Source organism: Homo sapiens, chromosome 5, assembly GCF_000001405.40.
Source record: "Homo sapiens chromosome 5, GRCh38.p14 Primary Assembly".
Classification (NCBI taxonomy): domain Eukaryota; kingdom Metazoa; phylum Chordata; class Mammalia; order Primates; family Hominidae; genus Homo; species Homo sapiens.
Window position 1 is genome coordinate 76,584,379 of NC_000005.10, and position 20,937 is coordinate 76,605,315.

Consider the following 20,937-nt stretch of genomic DNA (forward strand, 5'->3'; position numbering starts at 1 on the left):
TGAACAACCCCTAACATGAAGTAAACAGACAGAATTCGATTGACTGAGAAACAAACTGGGAGAAGATCACAGCCCACAAAACGCTGGGGGTTGCAGCAGAGGTAGGAGCTGTCGTGAGGTTTGCTCCAAGCAAAGGGGACAGCAAGGAAAAGAAGAGCCTCAAAGTGAGCAATCGTCAGCCTAGGACCAGCAGAACTATATGGCCCTTCCCTAAAGCAGCAAGTGTAGATGCTGATAGCGGGATAGCATGCCGGTACCCAAGACAGCTAATGACCTCAAGAAGGAACAGAGAGTCCCCAGTCTGAGAAGGAAAGACACTGGTTCCCTTCTGGCGTCCGTTCCATTGCTCTCTACAGCTTCTTAATGCTGGCTCCTGACATGCGGATCTGCAGTGAATGACCAACAAACAGCAAGTCTCAAACACTAAGATGAGTCCCAGATCAGAAGATGTCAGACATTTGAAGGAAACTGCCACTGAAGGAAGCATTAGATTCACCAAACAGAACCAAGACCCAAGGAACAAATGAAAATATTAAAATATGTGCAATTGATGATTCATTCAATTTATGTTCAACAAATATTTATTGAGCACTTACATTTATACACAGAAGAACCAAAGATAAAACTCTAAGAAGGAAAATTTGGTATAGATAAAATCAGAAAAACAGTTAATAAAATTTGTAGATATCTAAATTATTGGTGGATATAATTAAAAAAGCATGAATCTAAAATTCTAAATTATCTCAATATTCCACAGGTGGGAAAGTTAGAGGTGGAAGCATCTAAGGATAATAGATACCAATTAGTTTAGGCTTTGATAGAAAAATGTAAAAGTATATTAAAACTTCAGCAGGATATTAGTATAGGTAATATATATTAAAGATGCAGCACATTAAGTACTTGAAATAAGTATAAAATTTGTTGCTTGAAGACATTTTATGGATGTCTGCTTACATTTTACTGTATAACATTTTCTAAATTTCACTTTTTTTATAGTTTTCTTTGTAAATTAGGTATATTTTTGAATTTGTAAAAAGAGGAGGAAAGTGCAAATCAGGTAGTATGAAAGAAATTGAAGTGATACAATTATACATTTTTGATTATTTGTTCATCTATTCTCATTTCTTTTTTTCTTTTTTTCTTTTTTTTTTTGAGGTGGACTTTCACTCTTGCTGCCCAGGCTGGAATGCAATGGTGCAAATTCAGCTCACCACAAACCTCCACCTCCTGGGTTCAAGCGATTCTCCTGCCTCAGCCTCCCGAGTAGTTGGGGTTACAGGCATGTGCCACCATGCCCAGCTAATTTTGTATTTTTAGTAGAGACAGGGTTTCTCCATGTTGGTCAGGCTGGTCTTGAGCTCTCAACCTCAGGTGATTTGCCTGCCTCGGCCTCCCAAAGTGCTAGGATTACAGTCGTGAGCCACCGCCCCCAGCTATGTATTCTCATTTCTTAAATGATGGCTTGATCTCCATTCACCCCCCAAATTCTTTTGCAGTTTATCTTGCCTGTTAAATTCTGTTTAATTTTGTCGTTCCCATTACTAGAAAGGAGCAAGTGAAGAGGTTGACATTTCATTGTTCCAAGTAATATGAGCACCCTTTTAACTGGAATTTTTTCCCTATGTAATAATGAGTTGAGAATTGGTTCATAAAATATTATGGTTTTGAAAATGTCAGCATGGTATCTTAATGATCTAGCTTTAATTATAATGACTTGTTGGCATGAACCTTTGGTAGTAAAGTCTTCAGAGGCTGTGTAAAGTAAACAGTTTTATATCCATGATAATGTCTAAAGACCTAGAACTTTAACTAAGGAATGTATCCTCTCTTGCTAGTTTGGGATTATGAATACATAATGGCTATTTCACTTTGAAGAATGTTCAAAGTCTAATATAAAACTTTTTCCTCTGTGGATAAGATATAAATATCACATTGAAATTTAGTATTAAAACTAATGTTACACATATGGTAAAAAAAAAAAAAATGTTCTTTGTCCTTTGCTATGGTTTTAAAGGAAAAGCAGGAAAATAAGAGGCAAATTCTTCCCCTAAAAATTCTTTAAAATTCGAACATTCATTAATAGGCATTTCGTGGAAGACATATGAATGGCCAATGCATGTATGAAAAAATATTTACCCTCCCAACCACCATAAGGAAATACAAATTTAAATAACATCTTGTTGCTATCAGTTGCTAGTCCCTTGAAAGACTTTATTGATAATATCCTGTGGTGATAAGGGGACAAAGAAAATGGCATTCAGATGTATTCGTGGTCTAGTGGGCCATGCCCATCGGGGTTCTTAGGTTTAGCTAAATATTCAGATTGACCCACCTGTCATAAGCCACATCTGGCACCTGTTGCTCAGAAGAGAGGTAGCTGGGATAGCCAGCATGCTGGCAGGTGTTGCTCTTCAGTGGGAGCCTGCGTGACACTCCACTTAGTTGTCCATACAACCATCTGGAAGCCACCATTCTTGGTACCCCAAGATACAACTTTGCTGCTAAGAAGTGGGTTTGAGCCTTCCTGGCTTGTAAGCCTCGTGCCCCCAGGAGCCAATATCTATAGTAACAGCTGTACTGCATAGCTTCCCAGTTCTCTGCAAAGAACATACCAGTTATAAAAGTCATTGAACCCAGGAAGGCCCAAAGATATGGTACCTATTAGGTATTTATGGTTTTTTCTCTCAAGATACAATTTATCAATTGGGTTATTTTTTCCTAAGCAATGATGCTTATAACACTGTTGACAGTATAGGTTCCTAAGAGAACAGAGCTAGAAAGTTAACCAAAGGTCAAATTCTCATATAAAAGGAAAAAGGGTGTTTTTTAACCCTTTACTCATAAAGAATAAATGAGCATAATCTCTTTTTAAGATCACATTTGGACAGTAAACATTGAAAACTTTTATTGTGTGTGTACCCTTTCAAGCTGGCAATTTTGTTTTCATGGCTTTATTGTAACAAATACGAAATATGCACAAAGATGTGTCTGTGTCTATATGTAAGTAGGTTTATTAAGCATTATTTGCCATAGTTATTAATTAATAACAATCTAAATGCTCAGCACTTGCTTAAGAAAATTATAGTACATTCATATTCTAGAATAATATATACGTTTATAAAATAGGTATGTCCAGAAACAACTTTAAAAGAACATATATACCAAAATATTTAGTGTGTAACTGAGTGGTGATTTTCTGTGTAATTTTTTAAACCATAAGCCACTAATTTTTTACTTTGATCATGTATTACTTTTCTAAATAATTGCTCTTCATAAAAATTACCAGAAAATTGGCCAGACACGATGGCTCATGCCTATAATTCCAGCACTTTGGGTGGCAGAGGTGGGTGGTCAGGAGTTCGAGACCAGCCTAGCCAACATGGTGAAACCCCGTCTCTACTAAAAAAAAATACAAAAAGTAGACGGGCTCTGTGGCATGCACCTGTAATCCCAGCTAGTTGGGAAGCTGAGGCAGGAGAATCGCTTGAACCCAGAAGGTGGAGGTTGCAGTGGGTCGAGATCACGCCATTGCACTCCAGCCTGGGCGACAGAGCAAGACTCTGTCTCAACCAAAAAAAAAAAAAAAAAATCAGAAAATTATTGTCAGTTTTAATGCAAGCTACTTACATTAAATGACTAATCATACATTTTAAGAGTTTGTTTTAATACCATTAAAAAAGCTTGATCTTGAACTTTCTTAATGCATTTAATGAAATTCTATGTTCTATAAACTATGGAGCTTCATCTCACATCAACATCTGAAGTGATAATTTTGAAGTATTTCAAGCCATAAAAATCATTCAGTTCACTTTCTCATATATACTATTACTTGAAACTATGACTCAGTGATAAAAGTGGGGAAAGCACATATATTTTTTATAGAATTTAGATGCCAGCTCTCAAGTTCTTTTCTCAGGTTATGGGTAGGTTAATGGATGCCATCATTACTACCTTATGGATTTGTTTTTAAATACATCCAATTTATTCTCCATCTTCCACTTGGGTAATATACACACATCATAGTTTAACATTACCTCACCCACTGATAGTCTTGCCACTCTATTTATTGGTTTAGAAAATGTAAAACAAATATTTCCTCAAGGGGTATGTGGTACTTGGAGGAATATTAAAAAGCAAAATATAATTCATGCTGTACCTTCAATAAAATAAGAATTATGTGAGGAATATTCAAAGAAATGTTTATTGCATTTGTTACCTGCTGTTTTGTATTAGCTGTGTTTCTTGTTCTCCATACAAATGGATGATGCAGAGTTAGCTGGCTCTGTAGAAGTGCTGTAGAAGTGGATTACAGTAGAAGACCAGTCTTTGGGACACAGATTGGAATTCTGATCCTGGCCTCACCAAGTACTCTGTTACCCAGAGACTCAGTTTCCTCATTTACAAAATGAATAGACTAGATATCTCTTAGGTCTTTTCAACTGAAAAAACTATTAAGAATTATGTAATTTATAACATTAAGACTTATGATGATAAAATTTCTGATAATTTTGTGTTTTTTTCTTTCAGTTTGTATCTGTTCAAACTAGGAATAGCACCCCAGATCCAGGATTTGTTGGGCAAAGTAGACTTCACAGGTACTACTCTTTATCTTTGTAATTTTTTACAATCTAGTTATAAAAAGTACCAATACCTGGCCGGGCGTGGTGGCTCATGCCTGTAATCCCAGCACTTTGGGAGGCCGAGGCGGGCGGATCACAAGGTCAGGAGATCGAGACCATCCTGACTAACAGTGAAACCCCGTCTCTACTAAAAAATACAAAAAATTAGCCGGGCGTGGTGGGGGGCTCCTGTAGTCCCAGCTACTTGGGAGGCTGAGGCAGGAGAATGGCGTGAACCTGGGAGGCGGAGCTTGCAGTGAGCTGAGATTGTGCCACTGCACTCCAGCCTGGACGACAGAGCGAGACTCTGCCTCAAAAAAAAAAAAAAAAAAAAATTACCAATACCTTTTTTCCCCATTTTGATATTATTGATTTCCCTTATTCCTGTATATTGATGAGAAGAGAAAACAGACCTATCTTGTTTGTTCTTGACTGAGTTCTCCTTCTCCATGTTTGTGAAATGAGAAACTTGGGCTAGGTTCTTCCTAAGGCTCTTGTTTACAAACAACCCCACTTCCTGATGAAGACATTTCTTGATATGATTGTACTCATTCCTGCATCCATCTCTGTCTGTAGCTTTCTCTGATAATGATTATGATTATTTTGTTCTTTGTTAGAGGAGGAAATCAGTAATATGAGAAAAGAACTTGAGAAATATGGAATACAGATGCCATCTTTCAGCAAAATAGGTGGTATTCTGGCCAATGAACTGTCCGTGGATGAAGCTGCATGTAAGTCCATTCAAAATCCAAACTTGCCATGGATGTGAGACTTACCTGTACTTTACCTATTGATTTTGATTACTCGAAATAGAATATTTAGAAGATACTTTAAGCACCCTAAAAGTTTTTATTATTTGTTTTATAGATGATTAATTTGAGGATGTCAGAATATAACCAAGTAATTGATTTTGGTCTTTAGACTTCTACTTGTACAACATGAATTGAGGTTCTAGAAATACCTTCATTGTCCATAGTTCTCTACTTTCTGTGTCTGTAGATTTTAGTGGTAGAGTTCATTGTTACAGGTCTTTTAGTATTGCAAGCTAAATTGCAAGTATTTCTTGGAACCAACATGTTACTTTAAAATTACCCATGTCGCCCTGACCAGAGGGCAAGGATTGACTTACCTTCTAACTCCTGTGGTTGACATAGGGCTTGCTTCATTTTAGCCATTCAGTGATGTATAAATGAGTCAGAATTACTTAACAGATGCTGAGATCAGGACCAAAGACAGCCATGTGGAGAGGTTGTCAGGTGCTCCATAATATGTCTCAGTTCTCTTTTTGACATATTTACTGGAAGCCAAGAAAGAAAGTAAAACTGCTTGAGTTTACACAGGGTCAATGCAACTGTCCATGTTGTCTTTTGCTGATAAAAACCTTTTTCTCTCTCTCTCTTTACTTTTTAGTACATGCTGCAGTTATAGCCATTAATGAAGCAGTTGAAAAAGGAATAGCAGAGCAAACCGTTGTAACACTAAGAAACCCAAATGCGGTTTTAACTTTAGTGGATGACAACCTTGCACCAGAATATCAGAAAGAACTCTGGGATGCCAAAAAGAAAAAAGAGGAAAATGCAAGACTGAAGGTGCTTAGATTCTGAGTAATAAAAACAGTAATGAATGTGCTTATGAGTTACTAGTTTGAAAAGCCTTAATGTTGAAAGCAATACTTTTAAATCAATTGGCTATTTTCTCTATAGCCGTAGACAATTGATTTGAATGAAATGTAGCATACAAGAGGACCATACACTAGGTAAGGCAATTAGATTATATCCCTATATAAGGCATAAAAAGGAATTTTATAGTCCAGGCATGGTGGCTCATGCCTATAATCCCAGCACTTTGGGAGGCTGCAGCGGGAGGGTCCTTTGAGTCCAGGAGTTCAAAACGAGCCTGCGCGCTATAGTGAGACCCTGTCTCTAAGAAAATAAAAATAAAAATAAAAAATTAGCTGGGCTTGGTGGTGCAAGCCTGTAGTCCCAACTACTCGGGAGGCTGAGGTAGGAGAATCACTTGAGCCTGGGAGGTTGAGGCTGCAGTGAGCTGTGACCCTGCCACTGCACTCCAGCCTGGGCAACAGACTGAGACCCTCTCTCAATTTTTAGAAAGGGAATTTTGTGATGGATGTTATATATTGACAGAATTAAAAGTCATGTTGCAAACTTACTAATGTCCCCAGGAAGTGTAGAAGTAGCAACTCATGATCATCCCTTGTTAGACATCAACAGACCTTACATTAGCCAAGTTACTTTTACATTTGGTAGTAGAGGTTAATAATTCAGTGTGGTGAAGTTCAGAGAGGATGTTTTTGAATCTACAGTCTTCATATTTTCCCAATAGTCAATCCTTTATATTTGAGGATGTCCCTCCTGTACAAGACAGCCTGCTCCTAATCGTAACTCCATTTGTAACCACCTTTCTGTGTAGTCCATTATTGAAAAATTTGTCTACGCTGAGAGCTTCTACTTCCTCACCAGCTTGTCTCTCATTAAGCTCTTGCCATGTCAGTTTCAGCTCCATGACTGAAAGTAACCACTTTAGGTTTTGGCATTTTCTCAACTGGTGGCTTCCACCAGCATCTGGCAGGGTTGGCCTCCTACCTTGAGATTCTCTGCTTCACTAGCTTATGTGCGTCCTTGCTGCCACAGTTCTCCTCTGTGCCTCTTTCTCCTCTTCCTTCTCCCTCTCAGTATGGGGATTCTTCAAGGTCTGACATGGAATCCCTTCTCTGTTCTTCTTCCATTGAGCTCATCCACTTGTTGAAGAAATCAGCCATCAGCTTTATGCCAGCCCATCCCAAATTGGCCTCTCTCCTCCTTCTCCAGATAACTTTGTCTGTGTCCCTCTGGCTTTGTACCCCATTATATCAGAAGAGTTCCCCTTGCTGACTTCCCTGGTTCAGAATGATGGCCGGGTTTGTCTCAGAACTCTTTTTATGCCCCCTGTGTCCCATGCATTGCTAGATTCTGCTGCCTACTCTTGTTGGAGTTGAATCTGTCGCCAACCTTCTAGTCTCACCAGTCTTGCCTCAGTCCTGCCCCTTCTGACCTCATTGCATGACTCTTCTATCAAGCACCTTCCTTGTGGGTCTCTCTGCCTCCTGTTACTCTCTAAGCCAATCCCTCTTAAAGCTAGAGGTTACAAAACTGATCTTTAACTACAAATCTTGTGTTAACCCACCAGAGACATGCCCCGATTCTCTATTACCTACTGAATTAAATACCAAATCTTAGCTTAGCCTTCAGCTGACCCCCTCATCTTTTTGGCTCACCATGGACACACTCCAAGCTGTAGCCTAATGTGCTAAGCTTTCCATCTGTGTAACCAAATCCTGCTGTCTGTTTCCTATTCTTGACATTATTCTGTTGCTCGAAGCCCTCATTGATTATGATCTCTTTGCAAAATTTTCTTCCCAACTAAGTATGAATACTTTCTTAAAAAATGCTTATAGTACTTCTCTTATAGAACCTATTCTGTTCTTCTAGGTATATTTATTACTTGTGTTCTTGATTTTATTAGATCAAATCAAATGAAATTGGCACTATTCAACTGTTTTTGATCTAAAAAAAGGGCAATACCAAGTGGTCCAAACTAATGTTTTCCACATTTGAAAATTAGCCCTTTTCAAAGAGTCACCGGGTCTGTCATTCATCTTTGTAGTCTTTGCCAGCATTCTCCCCTAGTCCCCTGCACAGAGCAGGCACTCCACAAATGCTTGCAATGAATTTAAATAATTAGGGAATGGTTTTTGTCACTCTTCACATTTTTCCATTTGAATTTCGAGTTTTGGAAATATTTTATTTAACCTCAGAAATCAGTGAAGACTTTGTTTTGCAGAATAGCTGTATTTCAGAAGAAGAAAGAGATGCTTATGAAGAACTGCTGACACAAGCAGAAATCCAAGGCAATATTAATAAAGTCAACAGTAAGTAATGGATCGTATGAAGGAAATTGATATTTCCGTAAGATACAGACTTTCCTTGCCAGAATCCCAACACAACTCTCAATTTGTATACTTGGAAAACTGCCTTATACAATGAAAAATCTACTCAGTGTCAGTGTTGCTCTTAATTATGGTGCAGCATTTGGCAGTTTCCCACTGGGCTTTTTTTGGTGATCTCAGTCCACACAAAGTATCCTGAAGCTAGTTTGATTCTACCTTCCTGTTTCATTACATTCCACATTTTAATTCTGTCACTTTTGGGGCTAATACTGAAGGTCATTTAGTAAAAGATTATAATTTACAGATTGTAGTTGCTTGCCCATGATTATGCGATGATGTTCTATTGGAATTGTAAAAGGTACTATTGACACCACTGCTCTCTGTGACTTCCCAGCCATTAGTCTGTTGTTTGTAAGATTTTTCTTACACTTGTGTAACTTTGGTGCCAGTGAATGGGACTATGGACAGGCCAGATGAAATCTCATGATGGCAGCTTTGAGTCCCACACCCCTGAGCCTCTGTGGAGTCAAGCAGATGAGTTCCTCTTAGTACCTGGCTCAAGTGTCTGATTGTAAAGAACAGCAGACTCAGGTAATTAAAATAAGCGTATGCAGGTTGAGATACATCAATTTTTTTATTAGTCTTTTCTCCCCTCTGGCAAAACCTATTTTTACTTGAGCATCAGAAGAGTCAGTAAGAAATTTCATTTGATGTTTATTTTTCCCTGGTCAATCTAGATAATCCATATATACCCAAAAAACTAATACATGAAAGGCCATTTAGCCTGCTTAATAAAGCATGTGAACTCCCTGCGAAATTAAAATTTGGAGTATCCACTAATTACAACAGTCCTAAACCTTGCCTTCCTTTTAACATCCTCGTTGAGTTTTGAATATTCTTTTTTGCTTGTAACTCTTGCAAAGAAGTGTACACCCACGGTGTTACTAAGAAGTCTGCTCCTAAATTGCTGGAGAGAAATATCCTAAGGGGCTCAAACAGTAATTAAGGAAAGCCCCAGAGGGTTAATGTAAATGTCTAGGAGTTAACAACTGAATGTGTTTGAGAATATGCCTCACATACACATAACTGGGCTGAAAACTCTCAATTGCCTTTATTTTTTTAAGGTAACACCTTAACATTTTAGGGTGCATGTGCCTGTTGTTTTATTCTTGTGAAATCTTGAACATGTTACTGATGATACATGAAGTACAATTTAAAGTTTGTCTTTTTGCTCTATGCGAAAGCTGAGAACTTCGTGATGCTTGACAGAAATGAATTACAGGAGGAAATTAATGTTGCCAGTGAGACATCTGAGGTCCATAAGCCTAGAGAGGAAATGGCTCCATAGCCTTTAACCATCCTTTATTTTTGAAATATTTATAACCATGAAAACAGTTTTCTTTTTCATGTTAAATAAAATGCTTTATATAAATGTTTTAGTTCTTTACTCAGTGCCATAATTTCCTGACCGCAAATTTAATGCCAAATTGGCTATACTTTTTTTTTCCATTTTTAAGTAAAAGGCATTGGATGTTTTGCACTAATGGTAAAACCGGCTGAAAATATGAAAGCAAGGTTTGATGGCTTTAAATGTGTAGAACATGATTATTCTGAAGTCTTTTTATCTCTCCCCATCTTAAAATTTATAGTCCAGTAGAACTGAAAGTAACCTTAGGAAAAAAACCCTCATTTTGATGACATGACAATGAGACAATTGTACACTTTAAAATACGTAAGAATCAGCTGGGTGCAGTGGCTCACACCTGTAATCCCAGCACTTTGGGAGGCTGAAATGGGTGGATCACGAGGTCAAGCGTTCAAGACCACCCTAGCTAATATAGTGAAACCCTGTCTCTACTAAAAATACAAAAAGTCAGCCAGGCGTGGTGGCGGGCATCTGTAATCCCAGCTACTTGGGAGGCTGAGACAGGAGAATCACTTGAATGTGGGAGGTGGAGGATGCAGTGAGCTGAGATTGCGCCACTACACTCCAGCCTGGATGATAGTGTGAGACTCCATCTCAAAAAAAATTTAAAAAAAAAAAGTAAGAATCATTACTTTGACAAGATTTTCCTCAACCATGTAGGTTATTATATTAAAATGTTAAGGCATCCACATTCATAGCAACCATAGTAATAGCATCAGTGACAATGTTGGTGGTAATGTCAACAGATCTGTTGTTAGAGGCCTCAGCTTTGTTCACATTATAACCCTTTACCTTTCAGGTTCAGCAAATGCATTCCATTCATTGCATGATATTTTCTGTTAAGATCAGAGCTGGACATTTTGCATTTCTTTGCTTTTTTTTTTTTTTTTTTTTTTTTTTTTCCGGACAGGGTCTTATTCTATTGCCCAGTCTGGTGTTAAACTCTTGGGCTCAAGTGATCCTCCTTCCTCAGCCTCCCAAAATGCTAGGATTACAGACAAAAGCTACCACACCCTGCCTGGACATTTCGTTAAATGCAGAGTGTAAAAGAGTGGTTGATCTTACCTTATTTTTTTAGAAGAAATTGTTTATTTAATAGTGTTTTTCAGGCTAGGTGCAGTGACTCATGCCTGTAATCTAGCACTTTGGGAGGCTGAGGTGGGAGGATGACTTCAGGCCAGGAGTTCAAGACCAGCCTGGGCAACAAAGAGAGACTCAGTCTTTACAAAAAAAATTTAAAAATTAGCCGGGTGTGGTGGCACACAACTGTAGCCCCAGATACTGTAGAGACTGAGGTCGGAGGATCTCCAGAGCCCAGGAGGTCGAGACTGCAGTAAGCCAAGATTGCACCACTGCACTCCAGCCTTGGCAACAGAGCAAGACTGTCTCAAAAAAAGAAAGAGAGAGAGAGAGAGAGAGAGAGAGAGAGAAAACAGTGTTTTAAAGACATGATTTTCTGATGTTTGAAATATAGCTGTACAAACCCATATAATAAATTTATCAAAGGTAAAGCAAGATCCTACCTAGAGTAATCCGAGATACAGCTGAAAGGCCTTGGAGTAACTTTAGCAGAACAGCAAATACCACAAACAACCACTAGCCTTCCTTTCTGAAATTTTTTGGTTTGTCACATTAATTTTAAAGATAGAAATGCTAAGGTTCTCAGGGTCCTTTAGGTTAAGTGTGAGTTTTCTGGGGGATGACTTGAAGGATTCCATTAATCATAAGTATTTCCTGTTATTGAATTATATCTCTTAGTAAAAATATTGAGGGAAGATCCTCGTGAATGTATTTAGAGAAGATAAATTGTCATCTTGTCAAAAAGGGTTAGAAGAATCTTAGCTGCAATCTAGTCACGAATTAGGCAGACAGGCTAACCCTTGAAAGGCTCTAAAAATGTATGGGTATGTGTTACTTCTGCTACCCAGATGCCTTCTCTATAAGGCAAAACTCTGCAATCTCTGTCTGATTTGCTCTTTCCTGGTGGCAGAGTTCATCATTCATTCTCCCATTTACTCAGCAATTTCATTTTTGTTCTCTGAAAACTATGCTGAATCTACTGTTCCAAGCATCTCAGTTTGGTAACCAAAATTCATTTCTTTATAATCTGCACCTTACAACTGGTTGAGAGATCACAGAGTGTATTAGTCCATTCTCACACTGCTATAAAGAACTGCTTGAGACTGGGTAATTTATGAAGAAAAGAGGCTTAATTGACTCAGAGTTCTGCATGTCTGAAGGAGGCCTCAGGAAACTTACGATCATGGCAGAAGGTGATGGGGAAGCCAGGCACATCTTCACATGCCCAAAGCAGGAGGAATAGAGAGAAGGGGGAAGCGTTACACACTTAACCGTATCTCGTGAGAACTCACTATCATCCAGGGGGAAATCCGCCCCCATGTTACAATCATCTTCCACCAGATCCCTCCTCCAACATTGGGGATTATAATTCAACATAAGATTTGGGTGGGGACACAGAGCCAAACCATATCACAGAGTTTATGGTTGTCTCAGATGTTGCAGCAATATGTCCGAGTGCTTGCTGTAGGCTTACCGCAGTGCTTATGTGTTAGGAAGATATAACAGTAGGGCAAGGCTTGCTTCTGGTCTTCTTGTCACTTGAAGTCTCCTTGGGGAGACAGTACTAATGCACAAGGAGCACAGGGAACATGCCTGCTGGAACTACATGGCCCAGCTTTAAATAACTATGGTGTTCACATGATGAGAAATCCTTAAGGACTGGAGCAATCTGAAGGCTTCAGGGAAGAAATGAGACCAGAGCTGGTCCTATAAGGAAGGATTTTGGAAGGAAGTCATGCTACTCAGGAATGATCTCATACCCTAAGCTCCATCAATGCTAAGGTTCTTGTAGGCACTAATTCCAAAGATTGGATTAGTTTGAATTACTGAGATAACATTTTCAAAGCCTTACCTACCCTCTGCCTGCAGCTTTTCAGAGTTCATGAAAAGTAACTGCTTAGGTTCAAATCCTTGGGAAGAAGGGCTGGTTGGGTGAGACTGCAGTGGAAAGAGCAACCATTCTGACAAAACATGAACCCCCATCCTCAGGGCAGGCTGCAGTGGACCATATCAATGCTGTCATTCCGGAAGGTGACCCCGAGAATACGCTGCTTGCACTGAAGAAACCAGAGGCCCAGCTGCCTGCTGTTTATCCCTTTGCTGCTGCCATGTATCAGAACGAACTTTTCAACCTCCAGAAACAGAACACCATGGTAAGTCAGAGGAGACCCCAGCTGTGGGGACGGTAACCCTGCGTGCCATGGCGCACTAGGGAAGCCTAGTTAGGAAAGGGGAATAGGGATCGGGGATCTCTAATTTGTACCAGTCCTGGTCTCACTGGCCCACCTGTACCAATTCCAAGGCCTTCTTCCTTGTTAATTCTTGCTTTTAGTCTACATAAAGAATCTAAGAGCATAGTTAGGAAATTCCAGCAGTGGTCTATACATATACCTGTGAAAATAGGTTGTTCTTATTTTCTGTGTGATATTTGAAGACACCTTGGATAAATTTTAGCTATACCGATGTGGTATTTTTTTTACAATATATAATGTTTTTATGTAGAAAATAAGCTCAATCTGCAATTTTAGAAACTGCAAATAAGACCATTAGCACCATGGCTTTGATTTTTGTGAACTTGTGCACCTTAATATGACAACAGCATTCAACAATAATTTCATACAAGGTTACAGTAATTAAGAACATGTTTACTAACACTCTTGTAAGCCAAACAATGAAACAAAATGAAAACTACTGAAAGCAGAACCAAGAATTCAGCATATAACAAGGCTCGTATTTCAAGAAGGTGGGGAAACAACTATTTAATAAATGATATCCTTGCAAGTGTTTAAGCTTTGTTAAGAAAACATTAACTCACTACACATATATCAAAATAAATTTTCAACATAAAATGTTAAATATAAAAAATAATTTAACAAATTAAAGTTCTAAGGAAAAACACAGGACAGTCATTGGATCTTTAAAGTCACAATCAGCACTTATCCACACACAATAAAGAGAGGCCAAAAACATGAGCAGGCAATTCATAAAACAAGAACTATACAAATGACAAACAAAAAAAAAGTTTAAACTCAATCAGAAGTAAAAAATATATAAATTAAAACACAGTACACTTATGATTTAAAATTAGATTGGTAAAGATTAGAAAGATTTAACCCAGCGTAGGGATAGATATGGGGCCCAAACATCTCCTACACAGCTGCTGGGAGTATGAATTATACAGATTTTCTGCAGGGTGGTCTTAGTAATACAGATCAAAAGCCCATGATGCTGACAGTTACGTTCTAGAAAATAAGCCTGAAGGATATGAACCAAATAGCTTTGGCCACAGAGATGTTTCACAGCATTGTTTAGAATACTGAAAACCAGGAAACAAATGTTTAATTAATAACAGATTGCCTATAAATTAATAACATTTATGGTGCTTGTACATGTGAGAAATATGTGCAACCAGTAAAAATGATAATGTAAAGAATGACTGGAAAAGATATCCATACTAATATTAAGTGGGAAAAATAAGATTAAGATATATAGCATTATCTTGTTTTTTGCAAAAAGAAAGTGAAGTCAGTTATAAAGACAAAACCTCTGCAAATGTATATATGAATTTAAAATACATAAAAGGATATACACAAAAGAGCTTGAGTGGTAGCATTTGTTTTCTTATTCTTGCTTACTAAGACTTCTGTATTGGCTGAGTGTGGTAGTTCCTGTCTGTAATCTTAGCACTTTGGGAGGCTGAGACAGGAGGATCACTTGAGGCCAGGAGTTCAAGACCAACCTGGGCAACATAGGCCTCATCTTTACAAAAATAATAATAATAATTAAAAAGACTCCCTATGTTTCCTAAATAGAAATATAGTATTTGTAATAAAAGAAAAATAGCTTATTTTCTTAATTTCATTCAGGTTCTCTCATTAATATTTTCTTCCACTTCTCTGGCTCTGAAGCTCAAGGCTACTTATGCTTGAGGACACTCATTCATCCTCAACTGGCCATAGTTAACCTGTGGCTGTCCAACCTCATTTCTTCTTCCTCTCTCCTTATCCTTTTTGCTGTAAACCAATTTAGGTATCCACGGACAGGTCACTGAAAGAGATAGAGGAGGTGAATTATAAACGATTCCATTCTGCTCTTATAATTTGATACTTTGTATGTTAAACTTGTATTTAATGTAATATATTTAAATAAAATTTACTTACATGCTCTCGATGGTAACCCCTTCTTCCCATTTGCTTTGAAAGATTAAACTATCCCTTTTTATTCTGAAATCAGTTTGCTGCGAGACTTCTGTGGAGATCCAGAAAGATATAATAATGCATTTTAAGATGAACATTATGTTATATATTAAATACCTGTAATATCCTAAATGTAAAATATGTATCAGCTTTTCCTTAGTGGTTCTTTTTCATGCTCCTGCTCCTTATGTCCCTTCAATATGATGAAAAAAATATTCCTTTTGAAGTTGGGCCAAGATAATATAAAATGGTTAAATGGAAGAAGATATTAAAGGGGAAGGGTGTTCTGAAATCTAAGACGTATTTTTTTGGATAAGCTAAATCCAGATTTTAAATCATATAAACCTGGAGATCTGGCCAGGTGTGGTGATTCATGCCTGTAATCCCAGCACTTTGGGAGGCTGAGGCAGAAGAATCGCTTGAACCTGGGAGGCGGAGGCTGCAGTGAGCCTAGATCGTGCCATTGCACCCCAGCCTGGGCAACAAGAGCCAAACTCCATCTCAAAAAATAATAATAATAAAAATAAAGCAAACCAAACCAAACAAAAAAACCTGGAGAGCTTTACTTGCTTTACCAAAAGATCACCTCAGATTTCTTCAAATATCTTGACCTGGTAGTGTATTTTAAAATTTCTATTTTAAAATTTATGAAAATGTCACTTTAACTTTTTTTGAATTAAATCAGTAGTCTTGGTTTGAAGACCTTGCTTTGTGCTTCAGATTATAACTTTTCAGTGAAATTCTCCCAACCTTCCCTTAACCCTTAATTCAAACTGGAAATCGTTAGCTGTGCTAAAATGTTACCTGGCACTCTCAGTCAGTGACAATGTTATCTAGTCCTTGGCTTAATTATATGGCTGGACTGAGCCTTTAAGCAACCAGTATAGCTAGGAGTAGGGATCAGCAATGGGAATGCAGATATTTGTGGAATCGTAACTTTTCATTGTAATCAACCCAGTCCCAAAAAATGATCATCTAATGAAAGCCCAGGAGCCATATACCTGTTCTTAAAGCCAGTGGAAAGCAGGTGGCCACGACTCCTCTTTCTGCTGAGCTATCAAGTTCTTTGACTTTTTGTTGTTTGTTGAAATGTGCATTGTAAACCTCCATCATGCACATGAGGTGTGTTGTGTGGGGAGCTTATGTTGCCATATGTTTTCCAACAGAACTACTTGGCCCACGAGGAGCTTTTGATTGCTGTGGAAATGTTGTCTGCTGTTGCTTTACTAAACCAGGCCTTGGAAAGCAACGATCTTGTGTCTGTGCAGAATCAACTCAGAAGCCCCGCAATAGGCTTAAACAATCTGGACAAGGCATATGTGGAACGGTAAGGAACATTTTCCAAACCTTCTTTCAATGCAGAAATGCATGTTTGGCAGATCTTAAAAGTGAGGAATTTGCCTGTTGGTGGAGAAATCCATATACCATGCTCATGTTTCTTGAAAACTAGTCTGTTTTAAGAGTCCTTCTAATTAGTATCCTTGTTTACAGTATTCCTTCTGGGGAACAAGAAGAATCAGAAAGTGATCATCCTGTGGCAATTAATAAATGACTTTGTCGTTGGCAAAGATTATTTGATAGGCTGAAAATAAAGGAACTATTGGAAACATACCTTTCCTTGGGCGTCTTTTGGAAACCGCAGAATGTAGAAGAGTTGGAAGCAACTTTAATAATCATCCAGTCCAATTCTTTTATGTCACTGATGCAGAAACAGAATCCGGGTTATGGACCTAAAATTGGGCAGTTGGGCCCCAAACTCCACTCTTCTGATTATTAAGCCAAAGAAATCCTGAGACCACAGTGGGTCATGGCAGTGGGTAACAACATCCATTTATCTTTCATTTCATGTTTCTGAAGTGTGCTACCAGATAGTACAACTGATAGCATTGTTATAAAACACTATAGCGGATCTTGAGAGAAAATCAAATGGCCAGAATTGGGAGCCAGATGAGAGAGTCGCTGAGATAAAAGCCCCAGTTAAAATGAGTGAATCTTGGATTCTTGTAACCACCAGGGGGAGATGTCTGCACAGATCTTGACAAAAGCTCTTTTCAGCTACTGATTTTGGAACGGCTCTAATAGGCAGGTTGGCTAATTCTCTTGGGTCATGTACAGTTGCCAAGGAAAAACCAGAGATTTCTTAGGTTAAACAAATGGTATTTGACCACTTGTCTATGTAGTGAATGGCCAAAAGGTAATGGAAGGATGGTGGGTTTTCCTTGTTTTTAGTCTTTTTGGAGAAACTAATTCTCTTGTTCTACTTAAATTTGGCCATCTGGTTCATATGACTCCTTAGAGTGTGTTTCCAAGGTAATTTATATCTACCACCACTGTTTCTGTTACTTGTTAATGGCACCATTCTCTCCTGTAAGCTTAGAAACCTGAAGCCCAATTTGAGTTTCCCTCTGCCCTCAGCCGGGCACCCTCGTGCTCTAAAGAGCCTGCTGTCAGTAGCCAGTCTATGTGCCTTATACCTCTGCAAGATGTTTCCATTTCCCTGCAACCACCCTCACTTAGACTTCTCACTTTTGCTTCTGTAGTAACCCCTAAATTGGTCATCCTACTTCTTTTCTCTCCCCATTCATTAATCATTCCTACCTAACCAGGCTTTGCCATACTTTCTCAGTGCTAGAGTAGAAGACAGACCCGGTCAATCCCTTATGAAGCTTACAGGCTAATGGGGCATCTTGGTGAGATAACTGTCAAGACTATTCCACATATTTAGCATCCCTGGCAACTGTCCTCCACATGACATTAGCCCCTGACTCACCCATTCTGATTATCAAAAATGCCTGCTTCTTCATTTACAAATACCCTTAAAGAAGTGGTCCCATTCTATTTGAAAACCATATTCATACCTGTAGTTTCCAGCTGGGACCTACAGATGGAGCCTCACAGTTCGAGTGTTCTGTGTGAAGAACTTTTAAAATGTTTTGATTTTTTTTTTTTAATTTAAATACATTCTGGATCTGGAAGACCCAGTACTGACATGGGATTTAAGGGCCCACTTGGGTTCTTGTATTGACACTTGTATTGGCCCCAAATGATCTTCTACAGCCTTGGCATTTTACTTCCAAAGTCAGCATCTTAACTTGGGATCTTGGAATCCCAGTTTTGCAGATTATCAAGTTTGAGAAACACGGCTCTGTCCAGGGCCTCTCCCCATAGAGTGCAGGTTCTTCATAGCACAAGTGTGCTGTGCATGGCCACCTTGACAAATTCATGCAAAGTCTCTCCCTGTTCACCGTGGCTTCTACTCTTGGGGCTGTGTTTGCCCAGAGAGATTCTTTTGTCTAATTCTCACAAAAGTATTGTATGGGTTAACATTAGCCTTGGGCATACACTGTTCCCAGATTAACTGTTCTAAAATGTAACCCTATTCATAATTCTGTTTGATTGTTCCTTGTTCACATCCGAATTAAGAACAGACTTCTCATTCTAAGCATGTTGCTCTGACCTTACCTCCAGCTCCATCCCTACTCGTATTTTGTGCTTTAGCCAAGTCCAAGTGTACTTTCTGGTCTCTGTGTTCCTATGCGTGGTCCTCTCACCATCAGGAACTTGGTGCCTTTACCCAGCTCAGCTAAACACAGTATTGGAGCTTCTGAGCCCTGCCTACCATACATTATGTTCTGTGAGGTATATCCGTGCTTCTCCCCACCCTAGCATCTGATGTTATCTCTCCTGGGAGGTAGCATGATGTGGTTAAAGGAGCATATGCCTTGGAACCAAAAATATCTGAGATTGACCCTCCCTAACTAAGCCTTTTTCCTTCATCTATAAAGCACAAAAACAAAAGAAACAAAAGCCCCACTCTGCATTTGCAGAACTGTTTTGAGGATTTAGTGTTTGGTTCAGTGCCTGTCCCAGGGAGGGTGCTCCACCAATAAGGGTTTCCTTCCACTTCTTGCTTTGAACCCCATTATATCTACTCTTATGGACTCTTTAATGGTCCTTCCTGTGCTCTGCTTTTATACCTTTTTGGAATTTTTGTCGTCTTACCCACTGGTCTGAAAGCATAAAGGCTGCACCTTTTTCCTCCTAATATTCCTGTAGTGCCTGCCATGTTTTACATGTAGTAAGTGCTCACAAACATCTGCTGAACTAAATTGGATTACTGATCTTCTCAGAGCTTCCCAGGGCTCTTAGATTAGTAGACTCCTTACTAGTCTGTCCATAGATGAGGTGAAGAGAACTGAGAGGAGTGAGAGGAGAGGACATTGACCTGTTTGGGGAAACTACGGAATATTTCCCAAAGTTGGTAACTTCAGTACTGGAGAGAAATACTCAATTGGAAAAGCCTGTGGAGTTCTCTTGTGTTACTTTAAAAAAAATTTTTTTTTATTATTATACTTTAAGTTCTGGGATACATGTGCAGAACATGCAGGTTTGTTACATAGGTATACAAGTGCCATGGTGGTTTGCTGCACCCATCAACCCACCATCTAGATTAGGTATTTCTCCTAATGCTATTCCTCCCCTAGTTCCCCACCCCCTGACATGCCTCGGTGTATGTTGTTGTTCCCCTCCCTGTGACCACATGTTCTCATTGTTCAACTCCTACTTATGAGTGGGAACATGTGTTGTTTGGTTTCTGTTCCTGTTAGTTTGCTGAGAATGATGGTTTCCAGCTTCATCCATGTCCCTGCAAAGGACATGAACTCATCCTTTTTTTTTATGGCTGCATAGTATTCCATGGTGTATATGTGCCACATTTTCTTTATCCAGTCTATCATTGATGGACATTTGGGTTGGTTCCAAGTCTTTGCTATTGTGAACAGTGCCGCATAAACATACAGGTACATGTGCCTTTATAGTAGAATGATTTATAATCATATAATGGGATTACTGGGTCAAATGGTGTTACTTTTAAAATCTTTTCCTTTATAGCTTGTTTTTGTTCATTTCTAAAGAAATGATGGGTAGTTGTATTTCTTTCTGTGTTTATTTTTTACTTTCTCATTTCACTCCTGTTGGGTCAGCATTTAGACGTTAAGTGTATGGGATGCCCATAAGGACTTTGCGCTTTTGGAATGGTCTCCATCTGTGAGGGACACTAACCAGTGCAAGTTACCGATAATCCAAATCGTTATTGTGGTCAGTATTATTTATTATACATTACTAGTGTATTTCACATCTGCACTTGGCGAGGCCTCATTCAGCTACAGAAAATAAATTGTTACCACCATTTCCTATTTTTGAATGTTTTTCTCTCAAGCTACTCTCTATGGAAGACACCGCATGTCACCTTGAAGCATGCAGAATTTTGAAAAAGTTTGTCACAACCAAGAAAACAGTTTTAGACTTCATATAATGTTTCTTCTTTTAACCTCTGCCATTACTAGATCCCTAGAGACTATTCAGAATTCAAACTGCAGAGTGACTCATTATGTACACAGAAGATTGTTCTTCATTGCCCTGGTGCAAAGACATAAAAGCACACTAAACTATCTAGTTTTATTAATTTTCGCTGGAATAGTTCATGTTAGCCTATGGTTGTAACATTGGTTCTGTGAAAATTGGAAAGTGGGAAAATTGATAATTGAGAAGTAAAAGTTTCTTAATATATCAGTATGAGTAAGTTTTTCCCTGAAATTTCCCCAGGCAGAAAAAAAGTAATTGGAGTGGTTGACTAAACTGTATCTTCCAGAGGGCTATGCACAGTGAGAA

At 38.7% G+C, this 20,937-nt stretch overlaps 1 protein-coding gene across 8 annotated transcripts in view, besides 1 other annotated feature; it reads left to right on the forward strand.

Annotated features, from left to right (window-relative positions):
- The window catches only part of IQGAP2 (IQ motif containing GTPase activating protein 2), a 304,848-nt gene that overhangs the window by 181,094 nt on the left and 102,817 nt on the right, over positions 1–20,937 (forward strand). For all 8 annotated transcript variants that reach the window (NM_006633.5, XM_017008960.2, XM_047416641.1 and 5 more), the window contains 6 exons: positions 4,528–4,595; positions 5,237–5,350; positions 6,030–6,208; positions 8,460–8,547; positions 13,061–13,224; positions 16,434–16,594. In NM_006633.5, coding sequence (NP_006624.3) covers positions 4,528–4,595; positions 5,237–5,350; positions 6,030–6,208; positions 8,460–8,547; positions 13,061–13,224; positions 16,434–16,594 — 774 coding nt within the window. The remainder of the gene's footprint in view (positions 1–4,527; positions 4,596–5,236; positions 5,351–6,029; positions 6,209–8,459; positions 8,548–13,060; positions 13,225–16,433; positions 16,595–20,937) is intronic.
- Positions 5,800–6,029: an enhancer, noted in NCBI's record as "active region_22693". NCBI's record gives its function as "activates an Ori minimal core promoter by ATAC-STARR-seq in GM12878 lymphoblastoid cells {active_cell/tissue: GM12878}" and the evidence as "EXISTENCE:reporter gene assay evidence [ECO:0000049][PMID:35858748]".